The sequence below is a fragment of the Homo sapiens genome, chromosome 3 (genome assembly GCF_000001405.40).
Source record: "Homo sapiens chromosome 3, GRCh38.p14 Primary Assembly".
NCBI lineage: Eukaryota > Metazoa > Chordata > Mammalia > Primates > Hominidae > Homo > Homo sapiens.
Window position 1 is genome coordinate 27427645 of NC_000003.12, and position 21197 is coordinate 27448841.

At 37.9% G+C, this 21197-nt stretch overlaps 1 protein-coding gene across 27 annotated transcripts in view, besides 1 other annotated feature; it reads right to left on the minus strand.

Annotated features, from left to right (window-relative positions):
- SLC4A7 (solute carrier family 4 member 7) overlaps positions 1–21197 on the minus strand; it is a 111662-nt gene that overhangs the window by 54922 nt on the left and 35543 nt on the right. For 9 of the 27 annotated variants that reach the window (NR_135543.2, NR_135542.2, NM_001321107.2 and 6 more), the window contains exons 3-6: positions 21007–21153; positions 9744–9882; positions 8744–8904; positions 6272–6460 (exon numbers count right to left, since the gene is read on the minus strand). Coding sequence is in view for 21 of the 27 variants with exons in the window: in NM_001321107.2 (NP_001308036.1) it covers positions 6272–6460; positions 8744–8904; positions 9744–9882; positions 21007–21153 (636 nt within the window). In the remaining 6 variants the exon portion in view is untranslated. Of the gene's footprint in view, positions 1–3653; positions 4026–6271; positions 6461–8743; positions 8905–9743; positions 9883–21006; positions 21154–21197 lie in introns of those variants that run through there. The other 18 variants (NR_135541.2, NR_135544.2, NM_001321106.2 and 15 more) reach the window with 5 other exon arrangements.
- Positions 14684–15185: an enhancer, noted in NCBI's record as "H3K27ac hESC enhancer chr3:27483819-27484320 (GRCh37/hg19 assembly coordinates)". NCBI's record gives its function as "activates a minimal SCP1, AML or CMV promoter by ChIP-STARR-seq in primed H9 embryonic stem cells {active_cell/tissue: H9 hESC(primed)}" and the evidence as "EXISTENCE:reporter gene assay evidence [ECO:0000049][PMID:30033119]".

Here is a 21197-nt window from a genome sequence, read left to right on the forward strand (position 1 = left end):
AGTACCAGGCATCAAGGAAACTCCATTAGAGTTTCTAGATGCTTTAAGCACCGAAAGTAATTGAACAGAGAATCATGTATAGCTGTCCCTATTTTTCCTCAGCAGTTACATACTATCTACAGTCGTCTTTTTAACTGTAATTCTTGTCTTTAGAAATTCCCTCTCTCCTCTCCACTCTAATTTCTTCTGTTCAAAAAGGCCGATAAATCTCATCACAAAAACTCATGGGAAAAAATGTATGTTGGATTCTCAGTTAATTTATCTCCTTAACACGGCCTAAGAAGCCAATGTGAACCCATCTCCCCCTTCTTTCCTATATAAAATTTATAGTTCCTAATTATTTATAACATAGAAGCTGGTAAAACAAGACATGTTCATTGTTACTGATCAATGTAATATTGGAAAAAATGGAAGGAAGTAGCTTTTAAAATCACTTTTGTTCAAGGAAAAATAGTAAATCTTGTTAGTTCTTAAGATTAGAATGCTGATTACTTCTGAATAATTATTTTTAGGGTTGTTTTCCTCTTTTATGTTCAGTTACTTCATCATTAAGCTTTATCTTTTTCACGAACTGATAAAGTTCACAATGAAATACTCTAGTATAGATTTTGTTGTAAGTGGACCTGAGTTCAAATCCCTGCTCTGGTTGATCTTAACATCTCCAAGTCTTTTTTCACTGAAAAACAGGAATAACACCAACCTCATCAAATCGTTACAAGAATTAGAAATATGGTATTTGAAAAGCACTTATCGCTGTCTCTGGAACAAACTATAAAACAATGGCAGCCATACTACTATTATAACTAATGTCATAATGATTTAGCCATGAAGCTTCTATTTGTACTTCCAAAAGTATATCCTTTTTTGCAACTACAATGAGCTTTGGCTAAATGTAACTGGTGTGTTTCCATAAAGCCAATAGAAAGAGAGGTTTACTTCATAATGATAGGAACACAAGGATTTCCAGTCAGAGGATTTAGGCCATCAGTTACTAGTTGTATGATGCAGGGGAAGATGACTAACTTTTCTAAGTTTCTGAAAATGGGTGTGTCCATCTAACTTACCCATATTTGTATACACATTAAATAGGCTAATAACCAAGCTACCCACTGAAGTGCTGGATGTTGTATTTTGGAGAAATGTGATAATACTTATGTGATTAAAACCAATGGTTAGCATTAGTATCCATCACATTGAGGCTTAGCTGAAATAATTAAAAAGAAAAGTTACTAAAATATATTTATTTTATATTAGGCAAAAAGATATATGTACAAATGTACATGTAGTCAACATAAGGATAAACCAAATTTTCATACTTTATAGCCCTTAAGATGAGTTATAGGCTGGGCATGGTGGCTCACACCTGTAATCCCAGCACTTTGGGAGGCCCAGGCAGGCAGATCACGAGGTCAAGAGATCGAGACCATCCTGGCCAACATGGTGAAACCCCGTTGCTACTAAAAATACAAAAATTAGCCAGGCGTGGTGGTGCATGCCTGTAGTCCCAGCTACTTGGCAGGCTGAGGCAGGAGAATCACTTGAACCCGGGAGGCGGAGGTTGCAGTAAGCCGAGATCACACCACTGCACTCCAGCCTGGCGACAAAGCGAGACTCTCCATCTCCACAAAAAAAAAAGAGTTATAAACCTTTTCTCCACTAAAAAATAATAATTTTTTGCTAATTTTGCACATACAATTTTTTTTTCCCTAACTACAGGAACTCTGGTCCTGAAAATTTCAAGGTAAATTTGGATTAAAGATAAATAACAGCATGAAACAATGGACAACTAAAATCTATTCCAAAACATAAATCCGAGTCTGTATATGATTCCAGGCAGTCAGTCATTAGAGAACTTCAATCTTCTCAAAGGCAAAATGAGAAAAAGAACACTTGATCCTATCTTTATTTAAAAGACTAAAATGTGGCTGGGCATGGTGGCTCATGCCTGTAATCCCAGCACTTTGGGAGGCCAAGGTGGGTGGATCATTTGAGGTCAGGAGTTCAAGACTAGCCTGGCCAACATGGTGAAACCCCGTCTCTACTAAAAATACAAAAATTATCTGGGTGGTAGTGGCACGCGCCGTAATCCCAGCTACTCAGGAGGCTGAGGCAGGAGAATCACTTGAACCCAGGAGGCGAGGCTGCAGTGAACCAAGATGGCGCCACTGCGCTCCAGTCTAGGCAACAGAGTAAGAACCTGTCTCTCCACCCCACCCGCCCAAGCAAAAAAAAAAAGCCTAAAATGTACTACATTCTTTGGAGAAAAGCATTAAATAGAAAAAAAGGTATGGCTGGGCCTGGTGACTCACACCTATAATCCCAGCATTTTGGGAGGCTACGGCAGGAGGATTGCTTGAGGCCAGGAGTTCAAGACCAGCCTGGGCAACACAGCAAGATACCGTCTCTACAAAAAACTTAGCCAGATGTTGTGGCATGTGCCTGTAGTCTCAGCTACTCAGAATGCTGAGTCAGGAGGATTGCTTGATCCCAGGAGTTCAAGGCTGCAGTGAGCTATGATTGTGGCACTGCAGTGAGCTATGATTGTGGCACTGCACTCCAGCCTGGGTGACAGAGTATGACTCTATCCCTATTTAAGGCACATCACTTCACTATAATTTATTTGTATGTGTTCATTCACCTTATGAGTGAACTGCATGCACACACACACACACACACAAAACCAAGCTACCAAGGCAAGACGCAATCAATGGCCCACACCTGTAATCTCAGCACTCTGGTAGGCCAAGGTGGGTGGATCACTTAAGCCCAGGAGTTCAAGACCAGCCTGGGCAACATGGTGAGACCTGGTCTCTACAAAACACGAAAATTAACCAGGCATGGTGACACGCCCCTGAGTCCCAGTTAACTGGGAAGCTGAGGCAGGAGGATTGCTTGAGTCCAGGAGGTGGAGGTTACAGTGAGCTGAGATCATGCCAGCCTCCAAAGCAAGACCCCGTCTCCAAAAAAAAAAAAAAAAAAAGTTCACCCAGCCTGGCCAGCATGGTGAAAACATGTCTCCACAAAAAAATACAAAAAATTAGCCAGACGTGGTGGCTCAGTCCTGTAGTCCCAGCTACTCAGGAGGCTGAGGCCATGAGAATCACTTGAACCCAGGGAGCAGAGGCTGCAGTGAGCTGAGATCACACCACTGCACTCCAGCCTGGGCAACAGAGTGAGACTCGGTCTAATAAAAATAAATACATAAATAAATATAAAATAAGTTCATGGCAAATTAAAACATTATAAAAAATGACTATGTTTTACTGAAGTGTTCAAATGTCTTGACCTTTAAATCTAAGTGAAACTTTTTAAAAGGGCTTAAATTATGTGTAGTCTTCTTTGTAGTCTTTTTGTAACTCAAATTTTTAATAATCTTACTCTTTTTTATTAGGTTGGTGTAAAAGCAATTGAGTTCTTGCCACTGAAAGTAATTTTTGCCATTGAAAGTAAAGCAAACTTTCAACGGCGAAAACCGCAATTACTTTTGCACCAACCTAACACAATCTATCATAAAGAAAAAAAAACATGCAGAAGTCAAAATAAATTATAAGCATTATCTACATATGCTGCTTAAGCTATGTGCTAAAAGGCATTCCAAGTGCAAGTGACTCAGAGGCAGAAAGCACCACACATGGAGGATTTTGGATAGTTGCCTGGAGTTAAGTCAACATTTTCCTCATTCTTCTGCTCCTCGCCTTTCAGCGCTGCTTCTAAGTCTTCCTCAGGCGGATGAATTACTACTGTGGGAATATCATCACTGGCAGGTGAAACCAGTAGTTCTGGGGCCTGACGCTGACTCTCTTGGGAACTTCTGGAGGTCAGGCGGCTGATGCTAGGGCTAGAAGGAGGACTGTTTTGAGGGGTGGGTACTGGGGTTGTACACCTTGAGCCTGCAGGGGTTCCAGCTCTTGAAGAAGGAAGAAGATGACCAAGAAGAAGAGATAAAGGTGATTCTCCTCTCAAGGAAAGGTTTGAGGCAGACAGACCTGTTCGCAAAGAGTGGCGGGAGGCTGAAAGGCCTTCCCCTGAGATAAAACAAATAAATGAAAAATGATGAAGTCCACTGCAGAAGGCAAATAGAGACATTTAAAAAAAAATCAATTTACACTATAAATTGCATACTTCAAAGGCCCAAAATTTCAAAGTCATGTGATGGTTAGCATGTCAATCGGGTTTTTACATGTTAGAAAGTCACTAAAAAGTTGGTTAAAACTGTAATTAGTTCTCAGAACACATAAAAAAAAATTGTTAATGACAGATGGTGGGGGCAATATCCTGTTAGAAATTAGAATGACCAATAGCATGGCATTTTTAAAAAGGACAATATCAATACAAAGTCACTGCTTAAACAATAAATAGCAAATGAAAATATGTAATACACAATTAATATAACTCAAACCAAAAATAACCAAAACTAATAGCTTATATTTAGCGTATTTTTCCTACATTTTACCAAACAGCTACAGACAATTATCTCTTAGAGAAAAAGTTCATGTTAACATTAAGTAATAATTTCTAACTTAAAACTGGTATTAAATATTTACAATATTAAGTCAGTAAGACACCATCTACAGGTGGTGCTGCTCTGAAGTTTTAAAAAAAGACAAATAACAGAAATTTTTTAAAAAGAGAAACACAATGTCAATTTTAAAGGATACATATTCTTGAGCTCTCTAAAAATATTAATAAATGTCCTAAAGTATGCTTTTCATTTCTGATATGTAGCAGATACATTAAAACAAATACATATAATTTTTTATTTCACTAGCTAAGAATAAAGTACTTCTCACCAACAACAGCAATATAGCAGTAGGTCTAAAATATTTCAAAAGGTCATGCATACTTTTAATTAAACCCCTCATATTTGTACTAAGTGTATCTTAAAAGAATAACATTCTTTATGAAAAACATGCAAATACAATATTCAATTCCATATGGCCTAATCAAAGTTACATGCTCAAGAGGTTTCAGAAATAGTTAAACTATAATCCATTAGGAAACACCATTTAAACAATAAGCTACATGCAGGAAAAACTCAAATTATAACTATATTTCAACAAAAGAACATGCTAAAATGGCATTTAAAAGAAAACAGTCAATGTCTTCTGATGAGCAAATTACAATTGGACAATAGTGAGGAACAACTGCATACGAAGAGTAAAGACTGAATAGGGTCCCTCTGGATAAATGAACTTATTTCACCAAAGGAGAGAATATAAACAACAAATAAAAGACAAAAAAGAGAGTTAAAATGCGCTATACATTGGCTTGTTTTTACATTGCATTTTGGTCCATAAGAGGTATTCTTTTACTCTTAAGATTGCTTAAATACAACATGGCATAATTTTAAATGGATTAAAAAGGGTTTTCATGGCCAAGTGGAAGATAAAAAAGATGATTATTTTCAACTTTAGAAAAACTAGACCCTATCACCTATGCTTGCTTGTTGGTAGAACACTTAAAAGTCATACTATTATTTCAGGGGTAAAAAAGATGAGCAGGCACTGTGCCCCATACTCCACTAGTCCTCACTGTAATCCTCACGAGCTTTGGGTAATAGTAGCAGCTTACAGCAACTACTGGAGGCTACAGTGACTCTCCATAAGCCACTCTGATCCTTTGCACCCGGGTTTTCCAGACTCACTGTCAGAGTTCTCAACCCTACTGATGCATTCCTCTGCTTTACACAGAAGAATAAAGAAAGGCAAAACCTCCAAGTGTCCAGCATTAGGACACCAACAGAGGTAAACGACTGCAAAAACACTGTCTTCCCACATGCCACACAACCTGCCTGTAACCTAAGAATGAGAGTAGAAAGGTGGAATATGTAGACCTGGGTCTGAGCCATTCTCAATGGATTAGAAGACACCAACTAGGTCACCCTTAGTGTAAGACTGGAACAGTCATAAAAGCCTTTCACAAGTTGTACAAATAAAGAGCCGTGAAATCAGCAAACCAATCCAAAAACACTTGTTTATACCAGCAAATCAAGTATGTTCAGGAGAAAAAAAAAATTAGGAAAAATCTAAAATAAAGGTTCAAACCCAAGATTTAGAATTTCAAAAAGGTAATATTAAAAATTATAGATCATAATTTATGCCTCTTTAATTAATTATACAAGAGGCCTTGAAAAGAAACAAAGCAGGAAGGAGAAGTAATTCAGAGGTAGGTATAGTGAGTGTTTAAATATCCCCAAATGTTAATCGTAACATACTGGAAAGCTGTTACAGTAGAAGTGTTAGCAAAAATTGGATGCCACAACTTATCTCACCATTCCTTTCAAGCAAGTGAGGGTCAGAATGTTTCTTGCCTATATCTGCAAAAGATCGAACAAGAGGAATCCGACTGGTGAATCTTTTCTCATTCTGATGATGATGTCTCTTCAGAAGAGCTTCTCTGACATTCTCTCGTATGGACTCGTCTAATTGGCCAGAAGCTATCATGTTGTCTAATACCATATCTATTCAATGAAAAAAAAAATAAATTACTAAACACTCAGATGACCATAATATAGGAATAAACTGTGAGTGAAACCTTATGACAAAAATTAGAACCTTAAATAGCTCTAGAAAGTTTTATTCTGTCACAAATAATCAATGCAGAAATGAACATTATCCAACCAATAAAAATGAATTACAAAGACCGCCTTATTTTAATAAATACTATTATTTATAAAGAGGCTACTATTATATACTAATAGCCTTCCTATAGCTGAAAGTGCTTCCCTGTATGAATACAATAAATTCTATTAAGCTGAATATTCAATAATACTGGCTTCCTAAGATGTAAAGGTATTTTATTGCCAAACCTCATATTCTCCCCCAAAACTGTTCCAGCAGATGAATATCAGGACCCACTCAGTCATTAACTATTCACTGAGCGTCCGCTGTGTGTTGGGAATACAGCAATTTAAAAATAACAAAACAGAGCCAAGTTTCTGCTCTCTTCGAGAGGTAGAGAAACCAACATACAAACAGATAAAACGTCATGAGGTCATAAGTTCTAGGAAGAGGAGTAAAATCAGGTTGTGAAAGGGATGTGGGGAATGGGGAAACTGATGGCAATGCCATTTTATACATTACTGAGGTGATTAAACTTTTTAATTTATAAAATATATATTAATAGTTTTAAATAGTGGTACTAACTTGGAAGAAGAGGGTCAAATTTTCAAAACTACATGGTTACTCTAAAAAAAACCCTGGAAGGACCAGCCTAATAGGTAAACTGTTAACCTTAACACAACAGCTACAGTTTAGCAAACAAATGAACACTAGATTATACAACATATACTAAAAGTACTACATGGTATTATGTGATAATTGCAAACCAAAGTCTGAAACCCATATGTATTATACAAATTCAATATTCCCAACCTTAATTTTTCAGTTATTCATGTGAGACAAGAAAGTAAGGACAATTCAAATATTTGCAGCACACAGTTAAATCTAACAGTAGGCTAAAATTGAAGTATTTCTAGCCTGAGAAATTGTATTAAGTTCATGGTTCTCTTGAAGATTAAATACTACAGATTTTTTGTTTTTCCATGGGAGCAATCTACAATGGTAGTCCCACCATCAAATTCATTACTACCAAAGTTAATTTTGGTTTTTATTAATTTTAGTTAGTGGACAAAAAGCTGATTACAGCTGCCTTTTTCTACTTTCTACCTCCACATTATCCTTCAAATCTCCCCCTTTCATTTTCATTGCTCAACCTACCAGAGCTCTTTCTTTGCTTAGACTGTTCCTAGCCAATAACTGGCCTACTTGCTTCTAAACTCTTCCTAATCCAAAGCCACCCTACATTCTGTTGCCAGAATGATCTTCCTGAATGTGTATCTCATATCACACTATTCCTCAACTTAAAAACCATCAAGACCACCAAAATGCCTACCAAATAAAATCCTATTTCTTGGCTAGGCACCGTGGCTCACACCTGTAAACCCAAAACTCTGGCAAGCCAAAGTGGGCAGGTTGTTTGAGTTCAGGAGTTCAAGAACAGCATGGGCTACATGGCGAAAACCCGTCTCTACAAAAAATTCAAAAATTAGCCAGGCGTGGTGGTGTATACACCTGTGGTCCCAGCTACTCAGTAGGTTGAGGTGGGAGATCACTTGAGCCCAGGAGACGGAGACTGCAGTAAGCCAAGATCGTGCCACTGCACTCCATCCAGCCTGGATGACAGTGAGAGACCCTGTGATCCCCCCCTTAAAAAAAAAATCCAATAATTCAAGGCTAGTCACAATCTCATCTCTAACTGGGTTTCCCAACATACCTCCTAACACTACTGAAGAAATCTGTATATTCACACAGAACTGACTTTCCTGAGATTCCTGTCTATACTTCTCTAGACTTTTCTTTACTCTTCCTTAAAATACTTTTTCTCTTGTATCACCTACTCCTTGGTTCCCATGTGTTCACATTTTATGAGTAACTTGTACAATTAATGTTCTCTGTGGCTATTCCCCACATCCCCATTCCAAAAAACAAGGAAACAAAAAACTCTTTTCTGAATTTCCACAGAACAGACTCTGTATTCGCTTGTGCCACTATTCACTCTCTTACTGATACTACACTTATGTCGGTTTAATTTAATCTCATCTGCAAATTTATCAAAGACAAAAATTCTATCTTATTTCCTTATACTGCACTCCACAGAATAGAAGCTCAGCATATAGTTGTTAAATGAATGTCTAAAATTCCACTACACCTTACATATTTTTTAAAAGTCAGTTTACTATAACCTGCTATTTCATCTAGAGTGCTTGCTCTCATATCCAGCATGACTGTTCCATTGAGGATGCAACTCCTTAGTTCAAAAAGACTGTGCAAAGAGAGAGTTGCCACATAAGGTTTACTCCATCGGTCACCGCCATCTTCAACATCCTCTTCAAATTTCAGCCATCTGAATGCATAATGTATAAAAATATTTTATAAGTAATGAAGATTCCATTTGTTTATCTTAATGTGATAAAGAAACATTTGTTCTTTAAAGAAAAAAAAAAAAGAAATAAAGAAAACCACGACCAAACACGTTTTCACAAATTAGGTTAATGGTCTACAATATCTATAGTCACAAATTTCCTTTGTAGTTCCTCTTTCTATTCTAGGTATCATAATAATAAGCCTACAAAAACAAACTATGGAATTTCATATAGTTTCTACTTCTATTCCTCTTCTAAACTTGCAATACACAAAATTGTAGACATTAAAATCTATAATGACATAATTTCTTTATGAAAGTATAAAGGATTATTTAAGTAAACAAATTTGAGAATAAAGAGAAAAATTAAAGATAGAATTTCTATCAATTAATAAGGAAATTCTCTGCTCACTGGTTTAAAGCACCAGATATCTCATACTTTCAACTTAATATTCCCATTACAAAAAGAAATCAAGTAATGCCAATTTAAAAATGAGACTTAGGCCGGGAACGGTGGCTAACGCCTGTAATCCTAACACTATGGGAGGCCTAGACGGGAGGATAACCTGAGGTCAGGAGTTCGAGACCAGCCTCGCCAACTTGGTGAAACCCCATCTCTACTAAAAATACAAAAATTAGCCAGGCGTGGTGGCGGGCGCCTGCAATGTCAGCTACTCGGGAGGCTGAGACAGGAAAATCACTTGAACCTGGGAGGCAGAAGTTGCAGTGAGCCCAGATCGCACCATCGCACTCCAGCCTGGGCAACAAGAGCAAAACTCCATCTCAAAAAAAAAAAAGAGAGAGAGACTTAGCAGTATTACCTAGCAGTTTCTTTCCATTCATATTCTTCTCCATCTCTGTAACACAGTTCATCCATTTCCGTGAAGAGATCATGGGGAATATGTTCTTCATCATCATCTTCAGTACCAAGGATAAACTGAACTCTCTGGGATGGTGTATCTTTACAAAATAAGAATTTACATATACTCAAATTTTTCCTCAAGTCATTCAAAGATAAATTCACAGTTTTGAAAATGAAACACTTTTGTTACCTGTATAAACAAATATATTTCATCAAAACTCTCTTAATTATTGAACTATCACAATTCTGAAAGGAAACAAGAACCAACAATCCAGGAAAAAAAAAAAAGTCACAGAAAGATAATCTCTATAGAAAAAAAAGAAAATTATGTTGAAAATAAACAAGTCAAACTAACTTTATAACTGATCTAAACAAACAAAAATAAAAGTAACATTCCAAAACATGAACATAATGCTCAAAGGCAGCCCTTTTTCCTCACCAAAACTACATGGAAAAGTTAGAACAGAACATTTAAAATATAAGCTAAGGCCAGGCACTGTGGCTATGCCTGTAATCCCAGCACTTTGAGAGGCAGAGGCAAGTGTACCATCTGAGGTCAGGAGCTCGAGACCAGCCTAGCCAACATGGTGAAACCCCGTCTCTACTAAAAATATAAAAATTAGCCAGGCATGGTGGTGGACGCCTGTAATCCCAAATACTCGGGAGGCTGAGGCAGGAGAATCGCTTGAACCTGGGAAGTGGAGATTGCAGTGAGCTGAGATTGTGCCACTGCACTCCAGCCTAGGCGACAGAGACTCCGTCTCAGTCAATCAATCAATAAAATAAAATAAAATGTGGCCGGGCACAGTGGCTCACGCCTGTAATTCCAGCACTTTGGGAGGCCGAGGCGGTTGGATCATGAGGTCAGCAGTTGGAGACCAACCTGGCCAACATGGTGAAACCCTGTCTCTACTAAAAATACAAAAATTAGCCAGGCATGGTGGTGGACACCTGTAATCCCAGCTACTCCGGAGGCTGAGGCAGGAGAATCGCTTGAACCCAGAAGGCGTAGGTTGCAGTGAGCTGAGATTGTGCCATTCCACTCCAGCCTGGGCGACAGAGCAAGACTCCATCTCAAATAAATAAAATAAAATAACACAAAATAAAATAAAATAAAATAAAATAACATAACATAACATAAAATAACAAAATAACATAAAATAAAATAACATAACATAAAATAAAATAACAAAATAACATAACATAAAATAACATAAAACAAAATAACAAACATAACATAAAATAAAAATAACACAACATAACATAAAATAACATAACATAAAATAAAATAAAACAAAATACAATGTAAGCTGAAGAGTTAACTTTACAATGTAAAGTTAAAGAGTGAAAAATAGAAAATCTCCAAGTTCCAAAAAATGATGAGAAAACTCAAAGCTCCAACTATACAGAAACTGTCTTTTCCTACTATCATGGAGAAACAAAACTGTAAGCTTGGGGTTTTGGGGTGGAACAAGTCACTACGAAGAACAGATAACCCACTCATGGCGTCTGAAATTAAACTACTTGTGTAGTATAGGAACCCGAAACAGATGAATTAGCATAAATACTAGTCCAGGACAGTTGAAAGCCCTAGGGCTCCATATAAACAAATACACCACCACAAACAGTTACCCTGAATATGAGAGATGAGTTCTCACTCAAAATTTACACCTAAGTGAACAATCCTCCAAGTACTTGTGGATGCAACAAGGATATTTAAACAGGATAAAGAGTAGATTCAATGGAATTGTTTTCGTAAAAGTCAGATCTGAGAAAATTTCAGAGAATGCAGAAACAACAGATAAGAAGGAAGAAAACCAAAGATTAAGAGGGATGCAGAAAGTCAAGAACTCCAGGACAAGGAAAATAAAAGAATAGGAGGAGAAGCATATAAAAAACATATCTGAAAATTTTCCAGTATGTTTATGTCATGAGCCTTCATATTGAAGAAATAACCTAAGACCTAGGCAGGATTAAAAAAACACATATTGTGATTGAACTTCCTACTGTATTAAACTTTCCAGCATTTAGGTCTTGCACAAATCTTTGTCAGAATGATCCCTAAATACTACTTTTAGTGCTACCATAAGCAATAATTTTAATTCCAATTTCTCATTACTCATTGCAACTATATAGAAATATAATTGATTTTATATCCTGGGACCTGCTAAACTCACTTAGTTCTCTTAAGTATTGTAGATTGCTTAGGATTTGCTACCTACATGATCCTGTATCTGCGAATAAAGACCATTTTACTTTTTCATTCCAATCTGTATGCCCTGTATTCTTTCTTGTCTTATTACACTGGCTAGGTCTTCTAGTACAGTGTTATATAAAAGTCATCAGAGAGGACATCCTTTCCTTTTCCCAAATCACAGAAAATATTCAGTCATTAATTGTGAAATGTGATGTTGACTATATGGTGGTTTTCTTGGTTTTTGTAGATGCTCTTTATCAGGTTAAGGAAGTTTCCTGCTATTCTTAGTTTGCAGAGAGTTTTATCATGGATAGGTATTGAATTTTGTTAAAGGCTTACTTTGAACCTATTTAGATAGTTGTATTGCTTTTCTCCTTTGTATTGTTAATGACATTACTTAGTTACATTGACAGATGTTTAAGTTTTAAACCAACCTTATGTTCCTAGCTTGGCCATCATGCTAGTAACAAATTTAATCCACAAACCTGGTGGATTAAATAACACAAATTTATTCTCTTACAGTTCTGGATACCAGAAGTCCAAAATGAGTCTTAGAGGGCTAAAATCACGGTGTTGGCAGGGCTGGTTCCTTCTGGAGGCTCTAGGAAAATCAAATTCCCTTACTTTTTCCAGCTTCTGAAGGCAGCCTACATTCCTGGGGTCAGGATCCCTTCCTGACGTCACTGTAGCCACTTGCTTCTTTTTGTCACATCTATATCCAGTCTGATCGTCTGACCTCCTCTTACTAAGGATCCCTATGATTATATCAGGCCAACCTGCATAATCTAGGATAATATTCCCACTCCAAAATTCTTAACCCAGCCAGGTGTGGTGACTCACAGTTGTAATCCCAGCACTTTGGGAGGCCGAGGCAGGTGGATCACCTCAGGTCAGGAGTTCGAGACCAGCCTGGCCAGCATGGTGAAACCCCGTCTCTATGAAAAATACAAAAATTAGCCAGGCATGGTGGTACGCACCTGTAATCCCAGCTACTCAGGAGGCTGAGGCAGGAGAATCACTTGAACCCAGGAGGCAAAGGCTACAGTGAGCCAAGATCATGCCACTATACTCCAGCCTGGGTGGCACAGCAAGACTCCATCTCAAAAATAAAAACAAAAATAAATAAATAAAAAATAGGCCAGATGTGGTGGCTCACACCTGTAATCCCAGCCACTTTGGGAGGCCAAGGTGGGTGGATTACCTGAGATCAGGAATTTGAGATCAGCCTGGCCAACATGGTGAAACCCTGTCTCTACCAAAAATACAAAAATTAGCCAGCCATGATGGCAGAGGCCTGTACTCCTAGCTACTTGGGAGGCTGAGGCAGGAGAATCGCTTGAACCCAGGACGCAGAGGTTGCAGTGAGCCAAGATCGCATCATCGCACACCAGCCTGGGTGACAAGAGTGAGACTCCGTCTCAAAAAAATATATAACAAAAAAAATTAACCTAATCACATCAGCAAAGTCCTCTTTGCCATATAATGTAACATTCACAGGTTCGAGGGTTTAGGAGATGAATATCTTGCAGGCTATCACTCAGCCTACCACTCCCATGATATATTATCCTTTTTAAACATTGCTGGATACAATGTAATTTTGCTAGGAATTTTCTAATCCATATGCACAAAAATATTTTGTCCGTAGTTGTATTTTTCCTGTAATATCCCTGATTAGTTTTGGTATCAGGGTAATGCTGGATTCATTAACAAAATTGAGAAGTGTTCCCTCCTCTTATGTTTTCTAGCAAAGTCTATATTATTTCTTCCTTAAGTTTGTTTTATTTCATCCCTGATGCCATCTGAGAGTAAATTTTCATTGTCAGAAAGTTTTAGACTACACATTTAATGTCTTTAATCCATTTCTTCCTTTTTCATTTACTTATTTTTTAAGAGACGGTATCTGTTGCCCAGGCTGGAAGTGTAGTCACACAAGCATGGCTCACTGCGGCCTCAAACTCCTAGGCTAAAGGGATCAATCCACCTCAGCCTCCCCAGCAGTTGGGGAGATGCACATTGCCATACCCAGGTAATTTTTTATTTTTTGTAGTGACAGGGTTTTGCTTTGCTGCCTAGGCTGGTCTTGAACTCCTGGCTTCAAGCAATCCTCCTGCCTCAGTCTCCCAGTGTTGAAATTACAGGCATGCGTCAACATGTCTGGCTTCTTTAATGCATTTCTGTTTGCTAGTTTATATTCTTAGAGGAACTTGTCCATTTCATGTAAATTATCAATTTAGTTGCCACAAAGTCATCCATAATATTCTCTTATTAGTTTGACTTTTTTTTTTTTTGAGAGGGAGTCTCACTCTGTCACCCAGGCTGGAGTGCAGTGACACGATCTCGGCTCACTGCAACCTCCACCTCCCAGATTCTCCTGCCTCAGCCTCCTGAATAGCTGGTGGCACGTGCCACCACACCTGGCTAATTATTTTTAGTAGAGACGGGGTTTCACCATGTTGGCCAGGCTGTTCTTGAACTCCTGACCAGGTGACAAGGCAGGTGATCTGCCTGCCTCAGCCTCCCAAAGTTCTGGGATTACAAGCATGAGCCACCACTCCTGGCATTGATTGTAGTTTTGAAGAATGGACTAAAATGTCCCTAATATTTCACCCTTAATGAATTATCAGTTATCTTTTATATTAAATATTATATTGAATAGATCTTGTATATCTTTAGAGAAACATGATCTTTGTTGAAACACAGACTAACCTATTAATCCTTCTATACTTTGTAATAAACAACTCCCAAATGGGTTTTATCCCATGAAAATGTGACGTCATCCACATGAAATGTGACGTCAAAAACTACAGCTCATTTTCTTTTTTTTTTTTTTTTGAGACAGCGTCTCACTCCCAGGATGGGGTGCAGTGGCGCAATCTCGGCTCACTAGCTTCCGCCTCCTGGGTTCAAGGGATTCTTGTGCCTCAGCTGGGATAACAGGCATGCCTGGTTAATTTTCGTATTTTTGGTAGAGACTAGGGTTTCACTATGTTGCCCAGGCTGTTCTTAAACCCCTGAGCTCAAGCAATCAGCCCATCTTCGCCTCCCAAAGTGCTGGTGTTGTAGACAAAACCGGGTTCTGGTCACATGGCAGGGAAAGATTAGGCACGCGGACACTTTGAAAGGTGAGGGGTTACGAATTTATTGGGCAAAAGGGAAAAAGAACAACACAGCAAAGTGAGATGGAGTCCTGCTAACAGGCTGTCCATCTCACCAACTGAATTCCTGGTTACTATCCTGGAACAGCAGGGGCCAGGCTGTTCCCCTCTGCAAATGGTGTGAACATTTTGCTGCTGCACCCCATCCTCCCAGTGCTTGTAGATTGTCTTGGGAGCCGTTTTTACTTGGCTGTCTCACTAGGGTTACAGGCATTAGCCACCGCGCTGGGCATTCTCTTTTTTCTTTTTTTCTTTTTTTTTTTTTTTTTGAGATGGAGTTTCCCTCTGTCGCCCAGGCTGGAGTGCAGTGGTGAGATCTCAGCTCACTGCAACCTCTGCCTCCCGCATTCAAGCAATTCTCCTGTCTCAGCCTCTGGGTAGCTGGGACTACAGGAACGTGCCAAAACGCCTGGCTAATTTTTTATTTTTAGTAGAGACGTGGTTTCACCATGTTGGCCAGGCTGGTGTCGAACTCCTGACCTCAGGTGATCCGCCCGCCTCGGCCTCTCAAAGTGCTGGAATTACAGGCATGAGCCACCAGGCTTGGCCCTCTAATTAGTTTTCTAATTTCTGCGGGATGTGTATCGAAATTTTCTAATACTGGTGATTTGTGGGGGTTTTTTGTCCTCTGATCAATCTGGCTTTAGAGTTATCAATTTTAATAATCTTTTTTCAACGTACTAGATTTAGGTTTGATTGAGGTCTGCTATTGTTTTTTTTTCTGATTTTTACTTTATTCATTCTCCTGGAATTTTGTTTCCCATCTCCTCCTTACAATGTGCCCTATTTTTTTTCCTTAGTTTCTTAGCTAGAAGTTTAAGTCACTGATTTCAACTTTTTTCTGTTCTAATATAAGGATTAAATGCTACAAATTTTTCTCTAAAGTACTGCTTTAGTTGCATCTAACAAATTTGAATGTTAGTCCTCACTCTGCACAGTACCATGCATGAATCCTGTACATACCAGAACTGTCCTTACTTGGCAAAAATCTGTCTTGGTTACCTGCCTGTACTATTTTCATTTTCAATGAGTTCAAAATATTTTCTAACTTCTGTTGTGATTATTTCCTTAACCCATGATTATTGAGAAGTATTTTCTTCAATTTCCAAATACCTAGGAATTATTCTTGAGACATTTCTAGTTTAATTCTATTGTGATCAGAGAACATACTTTCACTTCTTTTAAATTATACTGAGACTTGTTTTATGGACTAGAATATGATCTTGGTAAATATTCCATTTGCACTCGTAGAGAACGTATTCTGCTGTCCTTGGGTGAAGTGTTTTATAAATGTCAGTATCAATCTGGTTGGGCAATGTTATTCAGGTCTTCCATATCCTTATCAATATTCTGTTTATTTACTCTATCAGAGAGGAGAGCTAAAATCTCCAACTCTTAATTGTGGACTGATCTATTTCCAATTTTATCATGTATTCTGCACCTGTTGTTATATGCATACACATTCAGGCTTATTACATTCTGATTCTGGCAATCTGATTCTTATGAGCCATTATATGTTTTCTTTATGTTTCTTCTTGGGTTTTGTTCAGCTCCTTGGATCTATGAGTTCAATGTTTTCCTTAAGTTTGAAAATTCTTCAACTATAATTTTTTCAAGTATCTTTTCTGATATCCTCCTTTCTGGGATTCCGCTCATACATATTAGACTACATGATATTGTCCCACAAATTACTGATGCTCCCTTCATTCTTTTTCAGTCACTTCATTCTCTGTGTTTCATTTTGGATAGTTACTATCACTGTCTTGAAAACCGCTGATTACTTTTCTTTCCTGCTGTAGTAAATCTTCAGTTAATCCTATCCAGTGTGTTTTCCATTTCAGATACTGTATTTTTTCCTCTCTAGAATTTCCATTTGGGGCTTCCTCCTATTTTCAATAGCTCTCTTTAACAGTCATATTCTTCTCTATCCTTTTGAGCATAAATATGCTAGTTGCTTTAACATTCTTATTTTCTAATTCAATCAACTCTGCCATTTCTGGATCTGTCTTATTATTTTTCTCCTGATTTTGGCTCATATTTTCCTGCTTCTTTATATCCCTGATAATTTTTGGATTCCAGATATTGTGAAATTTAACATGGTCAGGTGCTAGATTTTATCTTCTTTCTTTTAGTAGTGTAATACTTTGCCCTGGCATATAGTTAATTTAATTCTTTCAAGACCTGCCTTTAAGAATCTTCAAAGCAGATTCACTGCAGTCTTTGTTGTAAAACTAATCTAGACTCACTACTAAGGCCAGAGCCTTCTGAGAACTCTATCCAATACCCTGTATGTGTCAAAGTCTTTCCATTGTGGCTGAAGGGAACGCAAACTATTCCCAGCCTTGTGTGAAAGTACAGAAAGTGCTTAGCCTACTACTGTTTTCTGGTAGTTTTTCCCGGGCCACAGGTAGTTTCCTCTCACACATGGCCAGACCAGTGATCAGCCAAACATTCAAAAGGATCCTTTTTCAGATCTTTGGAACTCTGAGTACTCTCCACTCTCTTGAACTCTACACCTCAAATTCTAGCCTCTTTGACCTCCCCAAATTCCAATCTATGCTCCTCAACTCTAGGCTCTGTTTGGGTTCCCCTCCCTGTGCTGTGGCCTGGAAACTGTCTCTGGGCAATAAGTTCAGGTCATCATAGGTATTCTCTCACTTGCTTCTCCTCTCTCAGAAACCAAAGTCCTGTGCTGCCTCTTATACAATGTCTTAAAACTACTGTTTCATATATTTTATCTGGTTTTCCAGCTACTTTAAATGGGATGGCAGTTACAAACTTTCAGTTATTAGATAAATGAATTCTGGGGAACTAATAACGTACAACATGATGACTATAGTTAATAATATTGTAATGGCTGGGCGCAGCGGCTCACACCTGTAATCCCAGTACTTTGGGAGGCTGAGGCAGGCAGATCACTTGAGGTCAGGAGTTCGAGACCAGCCTGGCCAACATACTGAAATCCTGTCTCTACTAAAAATACAAAAAAAAAAAAAAAAAAATTAGCCGTGCGTGGTGGCGGGCACCTGTAATCCCAGCTACTTGGGAGGCTGAGGCAGGAGAATTGCTTGAACCTGGGAGGCAGAGGTTGCAGTGAGCTGAGATCGTGCCACCGCACTCCAGCCTGGGTGAAAGAGAGAGGCTCAGTCTCAAAAAAAAAAAAAAAAAAAAAAAAAAAAAAAAATATATATATATATATATATATATATATAGTGCCCTTGAAATTTGCTAAGAGAGTAGACTTTAATTATGTGTATTCTCACTATACACAATAAAAGGCAACTATATGAGGTTAAGGATGTGTTAATTAACTTGATTGTGATAATCATTTAACTATGTGTGTGTGTATATATATATATAAAAATCATACTGTACACCTTAAATGTATACAAATTTTATTTGTTAATTATACCTCAATAAAGCTAAAGGAAAACGCATTGGAAAACAGCCCCCAAATAGGAATAATTATTAAAATAAAATGGTGAGAAAATTTAATCCCCGTTATTCCATCCTGTTTAGAAGCAAAGTCCTGTGTAATCCCTTTAGAGAGCAAAAACGAAGAGACTTCATTTTTAGCACTTCCTTGGATACAAATTGGTAGTTAAGACAAAAACTTCAGGGACATAAATCTTTTCTAGGAATAGTTATTCCTTTGAAAAGTCAAATATTTTCTTCATTATAATCTATTTTTGAAGCCCCTATACTTAACACTTTTAATCCCATATCCTAGCTTAAAACATCAAACCACATACTTAGGTGAACATATCAATATACTAAGAGTTAAGTAAACAATATTTCTGTCCATAAAAATACTGTGTGCCTTTTTACTCAGTATGAATTAGAGAAGCATACTGATCCATTTACTCACAGAAGAACCTAGGATATCCTAAACTGAATGGCTGTGATGTATAGAACAGTTTTTTACTGTTTAAGTATTTTTTACTTCTAAATTACTTAGTATCACCAAAAAAAAGTTCACTAGTGACCCTTTCCAAATTCAGTGTTTGTTTTTCCTTTGCTAGCTACATGACCACTTAGTATTATATTTACTAGATTTACTAGGTCATCAGTATCTCTTAGTAGAGTTTTTTTTTGTTTTTTTTTGTTTTTTTTGTTTTTTTTAAACAGAGTCTCGCTCTGTCACCCAGGCTAGAGTGCAGTGGCACAATCTCTGCTCACTGCAACCTCTGCCTCCCGGGTTCAAGCAATTCTCTGCCTCAGCCTCCCAAATAGGTGGGATTACAGGTGCCCATCACCACAGCCAGCTAAACTTTTTTTTTTTTTTTCAGTAGAGACGGGGTTTCACCATGTTGGCCAGGCTGGTCTTGAACTCCTGACCTCGTGATCCACCTGCCTCAGCCTCCCAAAGTACTGCAATTGCAAGCGTGAGCCACCGCGCCCAGCTGAGTAGAGTTTCTTAATAGATTCCTGTCAGTCTCACTGGGCTGAAGTTTCCTCATCTATAAAATGAATTTAATATTTGTATTTTTAAAATGCTAAGATGGTTATATATTAAAAATACTAAGATGGTTAAACATAAGACCATTTGTCTAGGGCTTGGTAGAATGTTTAGACACAGAATTTGCACTTTAGATTTTACTATGCCATCAGTATTTTCCTTCCTATGTTCATGCAGTAACTATATTATACATAACAACTTTTTTGTTCTTTGCCTTTTCACAAAAACTTTCTTTTAGCATAGCATGCAACCGCCTATAGGATGTGGCTCACATAGCACATAGCTCTCTTTGCTAGAAAGCAAACACTAGGACCCATGATGTACAGATGGCCTTATACTAATAATGCCCTGTATGCTAACTAAGTATAATGCCTAAGAATCCTCCTCAGGTTTTACAGCCCTTTTTTTTTTTTTTTTTTTTTTTGGCTCTTTCCTTTCCCACTCTCAGGGCCACTTAAAACATGGCTATCTATGCTCGTCATCAGATAACAGTCTTGTTCCTGCTTTTCTTTCTGATTTCTATTGGTACCACTAACTTCTCTGCTTTCAAGTAACAAACAAAAAAACCCTGTCCTTTTATATAACTAATATTATCAAATAAGAGTACTCTTTTTTGCACAGAAAACCAAATAATCCAGCCTAGTGGATAAAATCTTCTGGCCAAAACTGTGGTGTAAGAAGGAAAAAAACAGCCAAGCATGGTGGCTCACACCTGTAATCCCAGCACTTTGGGAGGCTGAGGCAGGTGGATCACTTGAGGTCAGGAGTTCAAGACCAGCCTGGCCAACATAGTGAAACCCTGTCTCTACTGAAAATACAAAAATTACCCTGGCATGGTGGCGTGCGCCTGTAATCTCAGCTACTTGGGAGGCTGAGGCACAAGAATCGCTTGAACCCTGGAGGCAGACGTTGCAGTGAGCCGAGATCGTACCACTGCACTCCAGCCCAGCCGGGGTGACAGAGTAAGACTCCATCTCAAAAAAAAAAAAAAAAAAGAAGAAGGAAAAAAACTTTAATCACTTCCATGACAGCCTTAGCATTCCCAATGTCTATCCATTGCATATGTAAGTAATTAAAAATTTAGTACAGGAAATGAAACACTACTAAATTTGAGCCTAAGTGACTAGGCATAACTTTTACAATTTCAAGGATGGGATACAATGAAGAAAACAAAGCCCTTTATTTTTTCACTTACATGAAAGAGATCTTGACCTATAAAGATTTTTCTTATAAAAATTATAAAAAAAAAATTATTACTTCAATTGATATTCCCCAATACAATACATTCCCCATACAATGTGACTACATTAATGCATACATACAATTTTTAAAAGAAATATTCAATTAAAAGAAAATACTTTCCAGGAAAATAGGAACTTTAAACTGCTAAAGAAGAACTGTTTTCTCTTACCATAAGAAGGAGATTCCCGTCCATCTTCTTTATCTGATTCTTTATCTTTTCTTCTCCGGTGGTGATGTTTGTGTCCGCGATGCCTATGACGCCGACGACTCTCTTTACTAAACGGGACGTGAACACCAATATATACAGCTCTATGACCTATTAAAAGGTTCAGAAACATATTACTAGCTTTCCAAAAGAGA